Source organism: Homo sapiens, chromosome 21, assembly GCF_000001405.40.
Source record: "Homo sapiens chromosome 21, GRCh38.p14 Primary Assembly".
In the NCBI taxonomy this organism is placed as follows: domain Eukaryota; kingdom Metazoa; phylum Chordata; class Mammalia; order Primates; family Hominidae; genus Homo; species Homo sapiens.
The window spans coordinates 44362176-44379636 of NC_000021.9; the positions used below are offsets into that span (position 1 = coordinate 44362176).

Genomic DNA, 17461 nt, shown 5'->3' on the forward strand with positions numbered 1-17461 from the left:
TATAATATAATTGCTTGAAATATTTCTTCTACATATATTGAAATGAGGGCCGGGCATGGTGGCTTAAGCCTGTAATCCCAGCACTTTGGGAAGCTGAGGTGGGCGGATCACGAGGTCAGGAGATGGAGACCATCCTGGCTAACACGGTGAAACCCCGTCTCTACTAAAAATACAAAAAAAAAAAAAAAAAGCCAGATGTGGTGATGGCCGCCTGTGGTCGCAGCTACTTGGGAGGTTGAGGTGGGAGAGTGGCGTGAACCTGGGAGGCGGAGCTTGCAGTGAGCAAAGATCGGCGCCACTGCACTCTAGCCTGGGTGACAGAGCGAGATTCCATTTCAAGAAAAAAAAAAAAGAAAGAAAGAAAACCATGTCAGATAGTGTTATAATTTTTGCTTCAGCCATCAAACATCAGTTATGAAATTCAAGGGGTTACTCTTTTTGTTATTCTTTCTTCCTTTCAGATATTTCAAAATTCCTTTTCTTGTTTCCTTTCTGTTTAGAGAATGTCCTTTAGCCATTCTTTTAGGGTGTGTCTGCTCGTGACAAATTCCCTAGCCTTCCTTCAATTAAGAAGGTCCAAACTTCCTGTCTTTTCTGAGGTGTTTTTTTTGTTTTTTTTGAGGAGTCTCCCACTGTCTCCCAGGCTGGAGTGCAGTGGCACCATCTGGGCTCACTGCAACTTCCATCTCCTGGGTTCAAGCGAGTCTCCTGCCTCAGCGTCCCGAGTGGCTGGGGTTACAGGCTGCTGCCACCATGCCCAGCTGATTTTTTAGATTTTAGTAGAGACAGGGTTTCACCATGTTGGCCATGTTGGTCTCGAACTCCTGACCTTGTGATCCACCTGCCTCAGCTTCCCAAAGGGCTGGGATTATAGGCGTGAGCCACTGCGCCTCGCCGCTTTTAAAAGTTTTTATTTGTTTTTAGTTTTTGGAAGTTTAACTGTTGTGTGTCTTGGCATGTATCTCTTTGGATTTATCCTGTCTGGTGTTCACTCAGATTGTAGCGTGTGTAGGTTTATGTCTTTTTTGTCAAATATGGGAAATTTTGGCCATGACTTCTTTACATACATTTTCAGGATCACTGTCTTTTTCTTTTCCTTCTGGAACTCTGAGCATGAATGTATGATCTTTTGTTATAGTGCTGCAGGTCCCAGAGGTTTTGTTTACTTGTGTATTTTTTCTTTGTTGTTGTTTGTTTGTTTTCTCTCTGTTGTTCTTATTGGGCAATTTCTACTGTTATATCTTCCTGCTCCTGGGTTCTTTCCTCTGTCTCCTCCATCCTGCTGTTAGGTCCATCCTTTGAGTTTTTTATTTCAGTTACTGCATTTTTCAGCTCTAAAGTTTGCATTTGGTATATCTTCTCTTTTTTTACTGGAAATTTATATTTTTTCATTTGTTTTGAGCATGTTCATGATTGCTTGTTGAAGCATTTCTAATGTGGCTGCTTTAAAATCATTTTCAGATAATTCTAACATCTGTGTCATCTTGGCGTTGGTGGCTGTTAGCTGTCTTTTTTCATCCTGGTTGAGATTTTCCTGTCTCTTGTTAAAACTAGTGATGTTTGATTGAAACCTTGATAGTTTAGATTTTATGTTAAGAGACTCAAGATCTTGAGTTTTAGCTGGTCCTCTTGACATGTCTATGGTGAAGGAAGGAGGTCCCCCCATCACTGCCCCACAAAGGGTGAAGTCTAAGCCCCCCTGTAGCCTCCACTGATCCACTGACACTTCCTGGGGAGGCTTCTTGTTACTGCTGAGGGTGAGAAGAGCTCCAGCCCACCATTAGGCCTTTGCTGCCTCCCCCATGGCTGGAAGGGCAGGTGCTTTGTTTTTGCTGGGTGGGGGAAGGTTGCGGCTTTCCACTGGGCCTCCTCTGATGCCTTCACAGGGAGCAGGAAGGGCACCACACTCCCTGGGTGACTGGTGCTGTGTCTTTGCAGGAAGGTGGTGTGTCAGTGTGGCTACACGCATGAGCAGCACTTGGAGGAGGCTACCAAGCCCCACACCTTCCAGGGCACACAGTGGGACCCAAAGAAACATGTCCAGGAGATGCCAACCGATGCCTTTGGCGACATCGTCTTCACGGGCCTGAGCCAGAAGGTGAAAAAGGTTGGTTTCCATCACTCTCGCTCTGAACTGTAGGTGGAGCTGCATGGCCCCACAGTGACACGCGGTGGTCGGCATTTCCTGGGGCAAGAGCAGGAGGCTGGCAAAGCTCCAGGGTGCATAGAGCCCACTGCACAGCAAGGGAAGCGGCGGGGAGGGGCTCTGCAAGGCAAGCAAGACATGCACCCCACTCTCAGAGTGCTTGGCCATCTGCAAAGCAGGGTGGGGCACAGTGAGCTTTCTAGGAAGGTGCAAGCTGGGAGTGGTGAGTGAATTCTGGCTGGGTGTCCTTGGGCGGCATTTGTCAGGGCCTGGGAGGGAGTAGGGAGGAAGGAGAGGGATGCAGGACACAGATGCGCTCAGGGTGTGCTGGGAGAATGGTAGGAAGGGTGTGGGGAGGGAGGGAAAAGCTGGGGGAAGGGGCCCAGGATAGCAGGGAGGCCCATGTGGCAAGTCTGGAAGCAAACGCGAGAGTCCTTGCGAGGAGTCTGGGCCAGGCATGGCGGGATCCAGGCTGAGCCTGGCCTGCAGGAGAGCGCTGTGAGGGTGCAGACTGCTGGAGGGAGGCCCAGGTGCAGGGTTAGGTTCTCTCGTGCACAACCTCACTGAGGTCCCTGGACCAGCCATCTCTGACCAATTCTCAGGCCCCATCCCAGGCCTGTGGAGTCAGAGGCTCAGCCCCTTGCATGTTGACCAGCCTTCTGGAGGGTTCTGAGACTCGCGTGTTGACCAGCCTTTTGGAGGGTTCTGAGACTCGCGTGTTGACCAGCCTTCTGGAGGGTTCTGAGACTCGCGTGTTGACCAGCCTTCTGGAGGGTTCTGAGACTTGTGTGTTGACCAGCCTTCTGGAGGTTCTGAGACTTGCGTGTTGACCAGCCTTCTGGAGGGTTCTGAGACTTGCATGTTGACCAGCCTTCTGGAGGGTTCTGAGACTTGAGTGTTGACCAGCCTTCTGGAGGGTTCTGAGACAGTGATTGGGTGCCACTGTCCTGGAGGTGGGGAGGGTGGCACTGATCTCTGTGCTGGCGTCTGGAGCCCTGAACTTGGTACCTGTCGAGTGTGACCTGTCCACTCAATGCATGGTGTTGCCATGAGGTGGCCAAAGAGGTTGAGTGGGGCAGGTCCCGGAGACGGGGTCATGTGGCCCCAGGCTTCCTGGCTGGCACAGCCCCTGAGCCACCCTGTGTCACCATGACACGTGGGTGTTCTCCAGGCCCCTGGACCCCTCTGTCGCTGTGGTCACGGGGACAGTCCTGTTGTTGGGTTTCAGATGAGGGATTGAGGTATGGGGAGGCCCTACCTACCCTTTGTCTGATGCCACCGTGGCCGTGGCAGTGGTGGGTTTGAATCCAGCTGTGTCTGAGCCTGGGGTCTGGCTGCATCCCTCCCCCAACCCCCCGGCTTCTCCCAGCCCCCTCCCTGCAGCTGCCGACAGGGGCCGGTGGTGTGAGGGAGAAATGCCTGTGGCCTGACAGTGAGGGACGCCAGGGACACAGACCCTGTACTGCAGCAGGTCTGCCTCGAAGCCCGGGAGCGTCCACCATGCAGGCCACAGCCCTGCTCCTCCCAGGGAGACCAGCACCTCCAGATGCCTGGTGGACCCGGTGGGACCCACGTTCTGATGGTGACAGGCACTGTGCTTGTGGGTTAACTGGACCTTCTTTAGTGACAATGCCACCACATGGTTGTTTTGAGGGCACCTAATGGCATTTCTGGATTTCACCCATCACCTTTGTGTCTCTGCTAGGCCAATCCCGGCGGAGATTGCAGACCCCGCTGGGTCTCTTCAGACACAGCCCGCCTAGCGGAACAGGGAAAGTCCGCTGTGTACTTGGGAGGGTCTCCTGGAGGACGGGGGGCCAGAGTGACGACAGAACCTGGGAGAGCCGTGTTCAGACGGGAGGCAGAGGAAGCTGGGCCCACTGAGTCCCCAGGACGGGCCAGGGCACAGGGGCCACAGAGCAGAGGGGATAGGGCAGAGGGGACAGGAGAGGGGACAGGAGAGGGGACAGGAGAGGGGACAGGAGAGGGGACAGGAGAGGGGGCAGTGCTGGGTGCACAAGGACAGAAGGGCAGAGACCCCGGTGCAGGAGCTGATTAGACCCGGGGGAGGCAGGGCCCAGGCGCTACGGCGGGAATTGGAGTCTGTGCTGGCGCATGTTTGGGAGGCGCTCCCAAAATCGAGAGGAAGAGGAAAAAGTGGGTGCCGTGGGGGCACGAGGGCTGGGGGAGGTTTGCTGAGGGCGATCCTGGTCCCCAAAGGATGGCCTGATGCTCCTGGCTTGGGCCTCTCTGCCTCCCTCTTCTCTCGTGATCTGTGCCCTGCCCACATGGGGACCCCTTTTCTGGGTCTGAGCCGGAAAGGTGTGCGGTGTCTGCCGCCCGCTGGGGCCTCTCTGCATGGCCTGTGTGGGTCGGTGCTGTCCCTGACCACTGACACACAGGTTCCCTCCGCCGTTTTCCCTTTCCCGCAGTACGTCCGAGTCTCCCAGGACACGCCCTCCAGCGTGATCTACCACCTCATGACCCAGCACTGGGGGCTGGACGTCCCCAATCTCTTGATCTCGGTGACCGGGGGGGCCAAGAACTTCAACATGAAGCCGCGGCTGAAGAGCATTTTCCGCAGAGGCCTGGTCAAGGTGGCTCAGACCACAGGTAACTCGGAGGCTGGAGGGACACGAGGCCCCGGCGGGTGGGGTGGGCTGTGGAGGCAGTGCTGGGGCAATCAGGGCCATCAGGACCCAAAAAGTCCCTGGGAGCCGCCGAGGCTGTGCCCCAGCCTGAGTCGGACCCATGCACCTCTCACCTGGGCACAGCTGCTCCCTGACGCCCGATGCTCCCACTGGCTTGCCTGTGGGCTGGAGATGGCTCAGTGCATGGCCCTGCTGGTGCCCAGGGCCAAGCAGAGATGAGAACCTTGGTGGCCTGGGAACCTTGGTGGCCTGAGAACCTTGGTGGCCTGGGAACCTCGGTGGCCTGAGAACCTTGGTGGCCTGGGAATCTTGGTGGCCTGAGAACCTCGGTGGCCTGGGTGCACGGCTGGGGCCAGCACTGCAGGCCATTTGTAGGGGGTCAGCGAGAGTTCCCAGTCATCAAGCTTTCCATTATCGTGTTTTTCCATCAAAATCAGGGAAGGAGCATTATTATTTCCATCTCTTCACTTAAGGCAACTGCCTGGTTGGAGTCAAATCACCTCCCAAGGTTGCACCACTGGTGAGAGCCAGGCAGGGACCCAGTCCTGGTGGATGGTGTGAGATCCCAGGTGCCGTGACCTGGTGCCCCGCCCCACCCTAATTCCATGGGGAGGGGGCCCCAAGTCCTCAAGGCTCCCTGGGCCTCCCTGGAGGGGACTGTGGATGAATAGTGAGGCCCTGAGGTGACTACTTGGCAATGTTGCGTCCGGATGGGCCTAGAGTCACCCTGCTCTTCCTGGGGTCTGGGGTCTGGTCTTTGCCTCGCAGTGGAGTCGTAACTGAGCCTGACTTGGCCTGCATGGCTCACAGAGTCCTCAGTTTCATTGTCTGCCTGGTGAGCGTGAGGCACGGCTGCATCTTTTGACCTGTGAGTCCCACAGCCCTGCTTGTAAAATGACCAGACCTTTTCTCAGCCTGGTCACATGGGACTGGGTTTAACGCAGGTCACCATCCCACAGGCTCTTTCTGAAGCTTTGCTGCCTCAAATAATGCCATGGATTTGTTCAGGTCTCACCTGCTCCAGGTCTTGATGTTGCATTTTTTTAGCTTTCAATATCCGTGTCCTTGTTGTCCGCTTCCTGGCCCAAAGCCAGTACCACCTTTTCAATTGTTATCTTTCTATCTATCTATCTCCATCCTTCCATCCATCCATCTATTTATTTTTGAGACAGGGTCTCAGTCTGTTCCCCAGGCTGGAGTGCAGTAGCACGATCTCAGCTCATTGCAGCCTCGACCTCTTGGGCTCAGGTGATACTCCTGCCTCCGCCTCCTGAGTTGCTGGGACTAGAGGCGTATGCCACCATGCCAGGCTAATTTTTGTAGAGACAAGGTCTATGTTGTCCAGGCTGGTCTTGAACTCCTGGGCTCAAGTAATCTTCCTGCCTTGGCCTCCCAAAGTGCTGGGATAACAGGCGTGAGCCACCATGCCTGGCTGATTGGCTGTTTTTTTTATTTTTTTGTTTTTTTTTTGGAGTTGGAGTCTTGCTCTGTCACCCAGGCTGGAGTGCAGTGGTGGTGGCGCTATCTCAGCTCACTGCAACCTCTGCCTCCTGAGTTCAAGCAATTCTCCTGCCTCAGCCTCCTGAGTAGCTGGGACTGCAGGCGTGTGCTACCATGCCTGGCTAATTTTTGTATTTTTAGTAGAGACGGGGTTTCACCATGTTGGCCAGGCTGGTCTCGAACTCCTGACCTCAGGTGATCTGCCCGCCTCGGCCTCCCAAAGTGCTGGGATTACAGGCGTGAGCCACCGTGCCCGGCCGGAGGTGTGTTTCTTACAGGGGTGGCTGCAAACCACCAGCAGCAGATGGCAGGTGGGAGGTGAGGGGCATCCTTCCTAGGGACCAGGCTGAGTGTTGGGAGCGAGGAAGCACTCTGCCGCACCTGGGTCCTGAAAGCTGGGAGGAAGAGGGAAAGCAAAATACAAGAATGCAGAGAGGTGCTGAGAACCGCGATCCTGAGACTGGGGCCTGAGGAGGCGGCAGGGACCGGGAGAGGGGCGGGGCCTGCTCCTGTTCCCACCCCACCTGAGCGCGTGGGAACCTCGGTTCCTTACACCTGATGCTGGTTTGAAAGCCCCTGAGTGAGGAGCTCTGCGTTGTTGGGGGCGGGGCATCGCTGAGCCTAGAAGGGCTCAGGCGTCAGGCTCCTGGGTGTCAGGTGCCCCTCAGTGCTGTGGGGCCTGCCCACCCGTGCTCCTTCCCCAGGGGCCTGGATCATCACAGGGGGGTCCCACACCGGCGTCATGAAGCAGGTAGGCGAGGCGGTGCGGGACTTCAGCCTGAGCAGCAGCTACAAGGAAGGCGAGCTCATCACCATCGGAGTCGCCACCTGGGGCACTGTCCACCGCCGCGAGGGCCTGATCCATCCCACGGTGAGTGCGGCCCCCTAGGGAGGGGAGCCTAAGACCAGGGGTGTGGGTGAGGTCTGACTGGGCGCTGTGGGGAGCAGGTGGAGTGTACGGGGGCCGGGGTGTGGGTGACGTCTGACCGGGCGCTGTGGGGAGCAGGCGGAGTGTGCGGGGGCCGGGGTGTGGGTGACGTCTGACCGGGTGCTGCGGGGAGCAGGTGGAGTGTGCGGGGGCCGGGGTGTGGGTGAGTTCTGACCGGGTGCTGCGGGGAGCAGGTGGAGTGTGCGGGGGAGGCGGGGTGTGGGTGACGTCTGACCGGGTGCTGCGGGGAGCAGGTGGAGTGTGCGGGGGAGGCGGGGTGTGGGTGACGTCTGACCGGGTGCTGCGGCGAGCAGGTGGAGTGTGCGGGGGCCGGGGTGTGGGTGAGTTCTGACCGGGTGCTGCGGGGAGCAGGTGGAGTGTGCGGGGGAGGCGGGGTGTGGGTGACGTCTGACCGGGTGCTGCGGGGAGCAGGTGGAGTGTGCGGGGGAGGCGGGGTGTGGGTGACGTCTGACCGGGTGCTGCGGGGAGCAGGTGGAGTGTGCGGGGGCCGGGGTGTGGGTGAGTTCTGACCGGGTGCTGCGGGGAGCAGGTGGAGTGTGCGGGGGAGGCGGGGTGTGGGTGACGTCTGACCGGGTGCTGTGAGGAGCAGGTGGAGTGTGCGGGGGAGGCGGGCACACTCAGGAGATTGGGTGCAACTCCCGGCCCACCCCTGACCCAGGTGACCCCGGACAAACGGCTAACTTGGCTGGACTCTGGTATCTCCCTCAAGGTTGTAAGAGGGGTCCACGTGACAGTCACTCGCTGCGAGGGTTCCGCTAACAGAGCAGAGGGAGGGGGCGTGGCCAGCAGGCAGCTGGGTGGGGCTGAGCCAGGGCGATCCGACCCCGAACCGGAGCTTTTAGCACTTTGAGTCCCTGTACTCAGAGGTCTCCTGCAGCCGGGAATCCCACTGTGCTGTGGTCCCTGGCAGCCAGCACCCACCCCCAGCTTCTCCGTCAAGGTTGAGGACGGAGCACTCCTGCCTCTGATTAACTGGACGCAGGAGAAGCAGTTGCTTTAATCCGGAGCCTTGAGTTGGGACAGATAATGAGTCATTCAACCAGATTTTCCAAGGACACACTAACTTTGGTATGATGCGTGTGTGCCCCTGAATCCACGTGGTCAGGAAAGCCCAGGGAACACTGGCCTGTGACTCACTGAGCAGGTTCCCTTGTTACCCCGAGGGGTGATTTACTCCTCTGACAGTGACACGGACACTGTGCGTCCATTCCCCGGGCGGGCAGAGGACACTCCCAGATGCCCACGAGGGGCCCAGCAAGCACTGGCCAGCCCCAGCCCGGCCTTCGCCTTCCTTTGCGTCAGAATCATGAATGTGTCCGGCGGGGTCGGACTGGACCAGCTGTTGGGCTTTGTTTGCTCTTTTTACGAATTGAAAAACTGAAGCCAGGAGCGGCTGGGTGACGTCCCAGGTCACTCCTTACTTTCCTCCCCACGCTGAGTTCAGACGACTTCCCGTGACACCACTGTTGGTGGCGGAATGGGACTGTGGCTGCTTCCGCTCAGCCACGCTCCCTCTCTGTGGACGGCGGAGGGTGTGTGTCCCAGCCCGGCTGCCGCCCTCCCTTAGGTCTGTCTCCCGGGGCTGCTGTAACCCAGGCTCACAAACCTGGTGGCTTAAAGCAGCAGAAACTTAGTCTATCAGATCTGGAATCCGCGTCGATTGGCCATCATCCAGCCATCGGTGTTGGCGGGGCCACCTCCCTCTAGGGCCTAGGGGAAGAGCATTCCTTGCTGCCTCCAGCGTCTGGGTGCTGATGGCATTCCCTGGCCAGTGGCCACCTCCCTCCAGTCGCTGCCTCCGTGTCCCATGGCCGCCTCCCTCCAGTCTCTGCCTCCGTGTCCCGTGGCCGCCTCCCTCCAGTGTCTGCCTCCGTGTCCCGTGGCCGCCTCCCTCCAGTGTCTGCCTCCGTGTCCCGTGGCCGCCTCCCTCCAGTCTCTGCCTCCGTGTCCCGTGGCCGCCTCCCTCCAGTCTCTGCCTCCGTGTCCCGTGGCCGCCTCCCTCCAGTCTCTGCCTCCGTGTCCCGTGGCCGCCTCCCTCCAGTCTCTGCCTCCGTGTCCCGTGGCCGCCTCCCTCCAGTCTCTGCCTCCGTGTCCCGTGGCCGCCTCCCTCCAGTCTCTGCCTCCGTGTCCCGTGGCCTTCTCTGTGTGCCTGTGTCAAATCTCCCCCAAGAGTTCCGTAAGAACACTCGTGATGGCGTGTAGGTCCCACTAGGGTCATCTAGGGTGATGCCTTCATATCCAGATCTTTAACTGACATCTGCAAAGATGCTTTTCCAAACAAGGAAATGAGGAGCAGCACTTACCGGGTCCATGAGCAGGCCTTGATGTCTTTGGGTGGCCATGATTCAGCCAACTGCGGTCCTCCCTCTGACCTCAAAGATTTCTGTCCACTCCACAGGCAAAATATGTTCACACCATTGCCAGATCTTGGCTGGGTGTGGGGGCTCACACCTGTCATCCCAGCACATTGGGAGGCTGAGATGGGCGGATCACTTGAGGACAAAAGTTCAAGACCAGCTTGGCCAATATGGTGGAAACCCTGTCTTTACTAAAAATACAAAAATTAACTGGGCATAGTGGCAGGCGCCTGTAATCCCAGCTGAGGCAGAAGAATTGCTTGAACCCAGGAGCTGGAGGTTGCAGGGAACCAAGATCATGCCACTGCACTCCAGCCTGGGTGACAGAGCAAGACTCTGTCTAAACTAAACCAAACCAAACCAAACAAAATGATCCCCTCCAACTACAAACCTGTTACAGCAGAAACTCCAAGATCAAAATCTCATGTAAATATCATAAGCTTGGCCGAGTGCGGTGGCTCACACCTGTCATCCCAACACTTTGGGAGGCCAAGGCAGGCATATCACCTGAGGTCAGGAGCTTGAGACCAGCCTGGTCAACATGGAGAAACCCCGTCTCTACAAAAAATTAGCCGGGCATGGTGGTAGGCGACTGTAATCCCAGCTACTGGGAGGCCAAGGCAGGAGAATCGCTTGAACCTGGGAGGCGGAGGTTGCAGCGAGCCAAGGTTGTGCCACTGCACTCCAGCCCAGGTGACAGAGCGAGACACCGTCTCAAGCAAAACAAAACAAACAAACAAAAATATCATCAGCTCAAAAGTCCCAAATGTCATCATTTAAGTCAGGGACGCTGAAGACTCTGGGTCTGATCCATTCTGGGGCAGAATTTCTCTTCATATGTGCACCTGTGAGACCAGAAAACAAGTCACCTATCTCCAAAATACAAGGGAAGAGCAGGTGTAGCATCACAGCTGCAGACACTCTCATTCCCAATGGGGGAACACGGGAGGAACGAAGGCATCACCAGCCCCAGGCAATTCCAAAACCCGGCAGGCAGAATGCACTAGGTGATAAGACCGGGGAGACCCCTCTGTGGCTTGGGCACCCCCTACCCTGCTCTGTGTCCACGGCCCTGCCTTCAGGACGATCCTTTTCCCTGAAGGTTATAGCTTTTAGTCTGCTTGAAGATTTTAAGGAGTCTGACGACCTTTCATTTTATCCCGTCTCTGTCCCTTTCAGTCCAAATTTGCAGTGTTGTTGTTGATATAACATTTGTGAAAACCTTGCAGTCCTCCTTTGAATGCCATAGGAATTTCTGCCAGTAGACAAAAAGGGCTCTGCAGACCTTTCCTGTGATGCTGTCTCCACTCCTGGCTTCTGAGATGGTTGAGTGAATTGCAGTCTCCTTGCCTGGTCTCTTCATCACTAGCAGGAGGTTGTTTAGACACACCCTTGGCCCTCTCTCTTTTTTCTTTTTGTTTTTTTTTTGAGACAGTCTCACTCTGTTGCCCAGGCTGGAGTGCAGTGGTGCGATCTCAGCTCACTGCAACCTCCGCCTCCTGGGTTCAAGTGATTCTCCTGCCTCAGCCTCCTGAGTAGCTAGGTCTACAGGCACCCACCACCATGCCCAGCTAATTTTTGTATTTTTAGTAGAGACAGGGTTTCTCCATGTTGGCCAGGCTGGTCTCGAACTCCTGACCTCAAGTGATCCGCCCGCCTCGGCCCCCCAAAGTGCTGGGATTACAGGTGTGAGCCACTGCGCTTGGCCGTTGGCCTTCTCTTTAGAGTCTGCTTTTCGAACAGTGAATCTCTTTTCATTTTCTGCATTATATGCGACCTGCATTATATGCGACCTGCATTATATGCGACCTGCATTATATGCGACCTGCATTATATGCGACCTGCATTATATGCGACCCGGATAGGCTGAGAATTTCCCACATCATCAAGTCCTGGTTCCATTTTGTCTGTCAGTTTTTCCCTCAATTTCTCTCTTTCCTTTTGCATTTTGTGAGAAGCAGCAAGAAAAAAAAGCCAGGCCACAACTTGAACACTTTGCTTGGAGATCTCTGCGGCTAAATCTTCAAGTTCATCATTTACAGTTCTGCTCTCCACAAAACTGCACAGCACAATTCAGCCAGGCTTTCTGTCACTCTGCAGCAAAGTTGGCCTTCCCTCCAGTCTCCAGTACCACATTTCCCACTTCCTTCTGAGCCCTCACCAGAAGAAGCAACTGTGATGTTCATTTTTCTGCTAAAATTCTGTTCATGCCAGTATATGTATTCTCTCTCTCTCTCTTTTTTTTTTTTTGAGATGGAGCCTTGCTCTTTTGCCCAGGCTGGAGTGCAGTGGTGCGATCTTGGCTCACTGCAACCTCCACCTTCCGGGTTCAAGCAAATCTCCCACCTTAGCCTCCCGAGTAGCTGGGATTACAGGCATGTGCCACCATACCCAGCTAATTTTTGTATTTTTAGTACAGACGGGGTTTCACCATGTTGGCCAGGCTGGTCTCGAACTCCTGACCTCAACTGATCTGCCCACCTTGGCCTCCCAAAGTGCTGGGATTCCAGGCGTGAGCCACCGTGCCTGGCCCGTATATATATTTTCTAAGGCAGCGGTCCCCAGCCTTTTTGGCACCAGGAACTGGTTTCGTGGAAGAGAGTTTTTCCACAGATGGGGGCGGGGTGGTAAGCGGTTGGTTTGGGGATGATTCAAGCACGTTACGTTTATTGTGCACTTTATTTCTATTATTACATTGTAATATATAATGCAGTAATCATACAGCTCACCATAATGTAGGATCAGTGGGAGCCCTGAGCTTGTTTTCCTGCAGCTAGACGGTCCCATCATCTGGGGGTGATGGGGGACAGTGACAGATCATTAGGCATTAGATTTTCGTAAGGGGAGTACAACCTAGGTCCCTCGCATGCACAGTTCACAGTAAGGTTAGTATTCCCATGAGAATCTAATGCCGCGGATCTGACAGGAGGTGGAGCTCGGACAGTCACACACACGATGGGGAGCGGCTGTAAATAGGGATGAAGCTTCGCTCGTTCACCCACCACCCACCTCCTGCTGTGAGCAGCCCAGATCCTCACAGGCCACAGACCATTACCAGTCCATGGCCCAGGGGGTGGGGGACCCCTGCTCTAGGGCAACAAAGCCCTCTCTGCCCTGCTCCTCACTTCCTTCTGAGCCCTTACTGCGAGTTGTTTTTTTTCTGAGACAGGGTCTCACTGTTGCCCAGGCTGGAGTATGTTGGTGCGATCCTCAGCCTTGACCTCCCGGGCTCAAGTGATCTTCCCATCTCAGCCTCCCAAGTAGCTGGGACTACAGGTGTGCACCACCATGCCCGGCTAATTTTTTCATTTTTGTAGACATGAGATCCGCTATGTCGTCCAGGCTGGTCTCGAACTCCAGGGCTCAGGTGATCCTCCCGCCTTGGCCTCCCAAAGTGCTGGGATTCCAGGCGTGAGCCACCGCGCCCGTCTCCGCAAGGCCTTTAATACCACATTCCCACCAACATTCTCTTCAAGGACGTTGAGACGTTTTCCATTCATGGTGCTTCTAAATCCTCCCGTCGTCTCCCCATTGCCGGTTTCAATGCCACTTCCACATTTTTAGGTGTTTGTTGCAGCAGCAGCCCACTTCCTCACCCCAGACCTGTATCCGTTTCCTGTGGCTGCCGTAACAAATGGCCTCAAGCCTGAAACAGCAGCATTGTGGTCTCTCACGTGTCTGGAGGACAGAACTCTGAAGTCAGGGTCACACGTCTGTTTCCCCGCCTCCTCCACTCCTGGGGGGTCCGGCTTTCTCCACTTGTGGCTATGTCACTTGCCCCTGCCTCTGTGGTCCCTCGGCCTCCTCTCCTGTGTGTGTCCCCCACCACCTCTCTCCTGTAAGGACACCTGTGATGGTATTTTGGGCCCACTCGGATCATCCAAGTTAATCTCATGTTTCGATCACATGTGCAAAGTCGCTTTCTCCAATAAGGCCACGTCCACAGATTCCAGGGACTGGGACCTGGTCTCTGTGAGGGCCGGTGTTCAGCCTGCTCGCGTTAGAGAGGCAGAGCTTTCCAGAAGCAGTGTCTGACGCTTCCTGGCCATCCCAGGGCAGCTTCCCCGCCGAGTACATACTGGATGAGGATGGCCAAGGGAACCTGACCTGCCTAGACAGCAACCACTCTCACTTCATCCTCGTGGACGACGGGACCCACGGCCAGTACGGGGTGGAGATTCCTCTGAGGACCAGGCTGGAGAAGTTCATATCGGAGCAGACCAAGGAAAGAGGAGGTAGGGGAGCTTGCTTTCGAGGGTGATTGGGCAGAGAGCACAGTGGGCTGGTCAGAGTGTCAGGTACAGCTGGTCACGACCAGGACGTTCAACAGGCCTGGCGTTTGGCAGAGAGTGCAGTGGGCTGGTCAGAGTGTCAGGTACAGCTGGTCACAGGTCATTCGTGGCACTCGGCAGAGAGCGCGGTGAGCTGGTCAGACTGTCAGGTACAGCTGGTCACAACCAGGATGTTCATGGTACTCGGAACGTCCTCAGAACACACCTGGGTTTCTTTCCCGTGTCTCTTTATACTTTGTTCCAGGAGGGTCATCTTCTCTTGCCCATTTTAGCCAGTGGGAGGGCGGTCTGGGGGGCTGGCAGCTCACCTGTGTGCTCGCAGGTAATGGGCCAACCTACATTTTTTTTGGGACAGGGTCTGGAGCGCAGTGGTGTGATCTCAGCTCACTGTAGCCTCGAACTTCTGGGCTCAAGGGATCCTCCCATCACCCTCCCAAAGTGCTGGGATTACAAGCTTGAACCACTGTGCCTGGCCCTACAATTATTTTAAACCTTGATCATGGTCTGCTCTCAGGTTCAGAAATCAGAATGTACGATAGTCAAAACTTAGGATTTGATACCTTTTTCCTCATAGGTGGGATGGGATGGGTTTGAGGACGTCGGGAGGTCAAGTGCGGGGTTTTGCATATCACTTGAGGAGGGTTCAAAGAGGAGATGGTGAACGGGAGGTGTCTGACCTGTGGCTGGGTGGGCTGGGGTCCCTTGCAGGGTTCCTTGTGCATCGAACTCCCCTGGAGGGTTCCTCACCAGCTTGTGGGCCCCAGCCCCAGGGTCCAACTCAGCAGCTCCAGGTGGGCTGAGAACTTGCATTAGGAGCACGTTCCCTGGTGAGGGCGATGCTGCAGTTCAGGGACCAGGGACCACACTTTGAGAACCCTGCTTGACTAGTAGGAGCACGTTCCCTGGTGAGGACGATGCTGCAGTTCAGGGACCAGGGACCACACTTTGAGAACCTGCTTGACTAGTAGGAGCACGTTCCCTGGTGAGGGCGATGCTGCAGTTCAGGGACCACACTTTGAGAACCTGCTTGACTAGGACATCTGGGGTGGGATGTGTGGGTGAGTGTGTGAAGACGATGGGCCCATGGGGGGCTCACAGACAGAGTTTGCTGCCTGGGGAAAGGGGTTGCCAAGTCCTTCTCAGGCTCCACTGCTGTTGGGCTGGATGAAGTTCAGGGTGGGGCTGGGCGGATGGACACAGGATGGACGTGCCGCATGCTGCTCGCATCCACGCGTGGCAGGTTGTGCCACCTGCTTGGGGCCTCAGCTCTGATTGTCCATAGCCCCTCTCCCTCCCTCCCAAGAAAGCAGGCAGGGGTGGATGGGAAGCAAGCGAGCGGGGAAGTGTGGGTGGCGGGGGGCTCTTGAGTCTGCTCATTGATGTGGAACAGGCAGGTCCCCTGGGAATGTGGAGCTTTGACTTTAAACGGCGACTCAGCACTGGCAAGAGGCCTCCCAGCAGGTGCTTCAGTGTGTGGTTAGGCTGGAGCCAGCAGGGGGCAGGGGAGAGTGCCCTCAGTGCAGGGTCTTGCCCCCCACCTCTGTCCCCTCACTCGGCTCCATGCTTTGTTCAGGTGTGGCCCTCACTCGGCTCCGTGCTTTGTTTAGGTGTGGCCCTCACTCGGCTGTGTGCTTTTTCTAGGTGTGGCCATCAAGATCCCCATCGTGTGCGTGGTGCTGGAGGGCGGCCCGGGCACGTTGCACGTGAGTATGGCCAGGTGGGAGGGGGCATGTGTGGGCCCGTCCTGCTGCAGGCAGATGACTGTCCAAAAGTGCTTGTCTCAGAACTCAAGACTGTTGGCAAGAGGGCGATGAGCTTTCCCACCAGAAGAAGAGAAAGAGCATCTACGCTGTGTCGGGGCTGCTTCTGGGTGGGTGGAGGACGGGTCGGAGGAAGGTGCCTGGAGGAGGAGGCTGGGCTTGGCTATGACTGGGCCATTGACCGGCGTGGAAGGAAAGGGTGGGGCCCCAGGGCCTGGAGTGAGTGGGGCGCCTCTGCTCCCAGGACCTGCTGGGGAGGCTGGGGGGTTTCTACAACTCTGCCCCCAAGATTCCTCCAGGAAGCATTTTTCAAAGTACAGGGCTGTGGCCCCCATCCCAGATCCGTGGTGCCAGCAGCTGTGTGACTGCAGATTTGGCAGGCAGCTTGAATGCGCTGCTCTGCCGGCCTTCCTTCCCGACCCTAACCCTAACTGCTTTGTGGCGTGCAGGGTGCGAGGTGACCTCACCTGCTGTAGGAATGTACGAGGACATATAGCCTGAGGATCTGGAGCAAGAGTATGGGCTTTTGTGAAGGATGGGATCACAGGCAATGTCCCGTTTATGTTTCATGATTGCAGGAGGTCAAAACAGAGCCTTGGGGGCTTGAGGCTGGATGGGAATCCATAGAGCACTGGGTCCTCACTCCCTATGCGTGCCGAGTACCCTTCACGGCTCTTCTGCTGGGGCGGCTGCACCCGCCTCCTTACCCCAGGCCGATGCTCATGCACACGGCAGAGTCCTTCCTGCCAGACAGCTTTGTGTCCAGTCCCTTCCCGAAGTCCAGCACACCCTGGAGCCCAGGTGCCCTCCTCATGGCTCTGCTCTTACTGTGGGCTTTTATGAGGTCGGTAACTCCAGGTCCATGCAGCGTCCCCTTTGCTGCGAGGCCCTCACGTCTGCAGGTCCATGGGCAAAAATGCTGGGAGTCTTTGATTCTGCTGGAGCTGAGGCCTGAGAGGTGCCAGGTGTGCAGCCCCCAGTGTGTTGGGGCAGCTCCCTCTTCCCCCAGAGCAGGGGACGCCACGAAACTAATAAGTGCTTTCAGTGGATCTCGGAGTAGTGTTAGCCAGCTCTGCCCTTAGCTGGCCTTGGAGAATTCTCCATTTCAGAAAGCATCGGAGCGGTGAGGACCCAGTCCCGGGCTCACACCCCCACCTGCCTTGCAGACCATCGACAACGCCACCACCAACGGCACCCCCTGTGTGGTTGTGGAGGGCTCGGGCCGCGTGGCCGACGTCATTGCCCAGGTGGCCAACCTGCCTGTCTCGGACATCACTATCTCCCTGATCCAGCAGAAACTGAGCGTGTTCTTCCAGGAGATGTTTGAGACCTTCACGGAAAGCAGGATTGTCGAGTGGACCAAAAAGGTGAGGCTGACGGGCACGACGGTCACCAGCATGTGGCTGCTTTGCAGAGACACTGTCAGCCTGGTGGGCAGGACCAGGACTCATGGACCGATGCGGAGAACCCACTGGGTCTGAGTGGGTGCCAGAGCGATTTGCAGAGGGCAGGGCCCAGGTGGTAAACCTCCTGGCTGGGTTCCGGAGGTCAGATCCCAAGACAGCATGTGAAAGGAGGGTGTGAACCTCACCCGCAGCACACCAGGGCGGGCTGGGAACGCTGCGGGGCTCAGTGGTGCTGTGAAAAGGGTCTGCTGGATTGGAGGGGTGGGAGGCAGGCGCTGGGGAGGCCTCAGCCGAGTCGGGCAGCAGGGCAGCTGCTGAGCAATGGCTGTGGGTCGCAGGGTCCAGTCCAGATTGTAGCCTCATAGGTGAGTTAATGGAGGCATGTAGAGTGGCCTCAGGA

The 17461-nt window shown here is 56.5% G+C and overlaps 1 protein-coding gene across 10 annotated transcripts in view, besides 4 other annotated features; it reads left to right on the forward strand.

Annotated features, from left to right (window-relative positions):
• Positions 1 to 17461, forward strand: part of TRPM2 (transient receptor potential cation channel subfamily M member 2) — a 92504-nt gene that overhangs the window by 12035 nt on the left and 63008 nt on the right. For all 10 annotated transcript variants that reach the window (NR_038257.2, NM_001433516.1, XM_011529736.3 and 7 more), the window contains 6 exons: positions 1939 to 2107; positions 4579 to 4759; positions 7002 to 7168; positions 13658 to 13838; positions 15537 to 15598; positions 16822 to 17022. Coding sequence is in view for 9 of the 10 variants with exons in the window: in NM_001433516.1 (NP_001420445.1) it covers positions 1939 to 2107; positions 4579 to 4759; positions 7002 to 7168; positions 13658 to 13838; positions 15537 to 15598; positions 16822 to 17022 (961 nt within the window). In the remaining variant the exon portion in view is untranslated. The remainder of the gene's footprint in view (positions 1 to 1938; positions 2108 to 4578; positions 4760 to 7001; positions 7169 to 13657; positions 13839 to 15536; positions 15599 to 16821; positions 17023 to 17461) is intronic.
• Positions 8009 to 8842: an enhancer, noted in NCBI's record as "H3K27ac-H3K4me1 hESC enhancer chr21:45790067-45790900 (GRCh37/hg19 assembly coordinates)". NCBI's record gives its function as "activates a minimal SCP1, AML or CMV promoter by ChIP-STARR-seq in naive H9 embryonic stem cells {active_cell/tissue: H9 hESC(naive)}" and the evidence as "EXISTENCE:reporter gene assay evidence [ECO:0000049][PMID:30033119]".
• Positions 15155 to 15654: an enhancer, noted in NCBI's record as "H3K4me1 hESC enhancer chr21:45797213-45797712 (GRCh37/hg19 assembly coordinates)". NCBI's record gives its function as "activates a minimal SCP1, AML or CMV promoter by ChIP-STARR-seq in naive H9 embryonic stem cells {active_cell/tissue: H9 hESC(naive)}" and the evidence as "EXISTENCE:reporter gene assay evidence [ECO:0000049][PMID:30033119]".
• Positions 15655 to 16156: an enhancer, noted in NCBI's record as "H3K4me1 hESC enhancer chr21:45797713-45798214 (GRCh37/hg19 assembly coordinates)". NCBI's record gives its function as "activates a minimal SCP1, AML or CMV promoter by ChIP-STARR-seq in naive H9 embryonic stem cells {active_cell/tissue: H9 hESC(naive)}" and the evidence as "EXISTENCE:reporter gene assay evidence [ECO:0000049][PMID:30033119]".
• Positions 16650 to 16855: a silencer, noted in NCBI's record as "fragment chr21:45798708-45798913 (GRCh37/hg19 assembly coordinates)". NCBI's record gives its function as "represses an EF-1alpha promoter that drives an FKBP-Casp9 reporter gene in an ReSE screen in HepG2 liver carcinoma cells {active_cell/tissue: HepG2}" and the evidence as "EXISTENCE:reporter gene assay evidence [ECO:0000049][PMID:32094911]".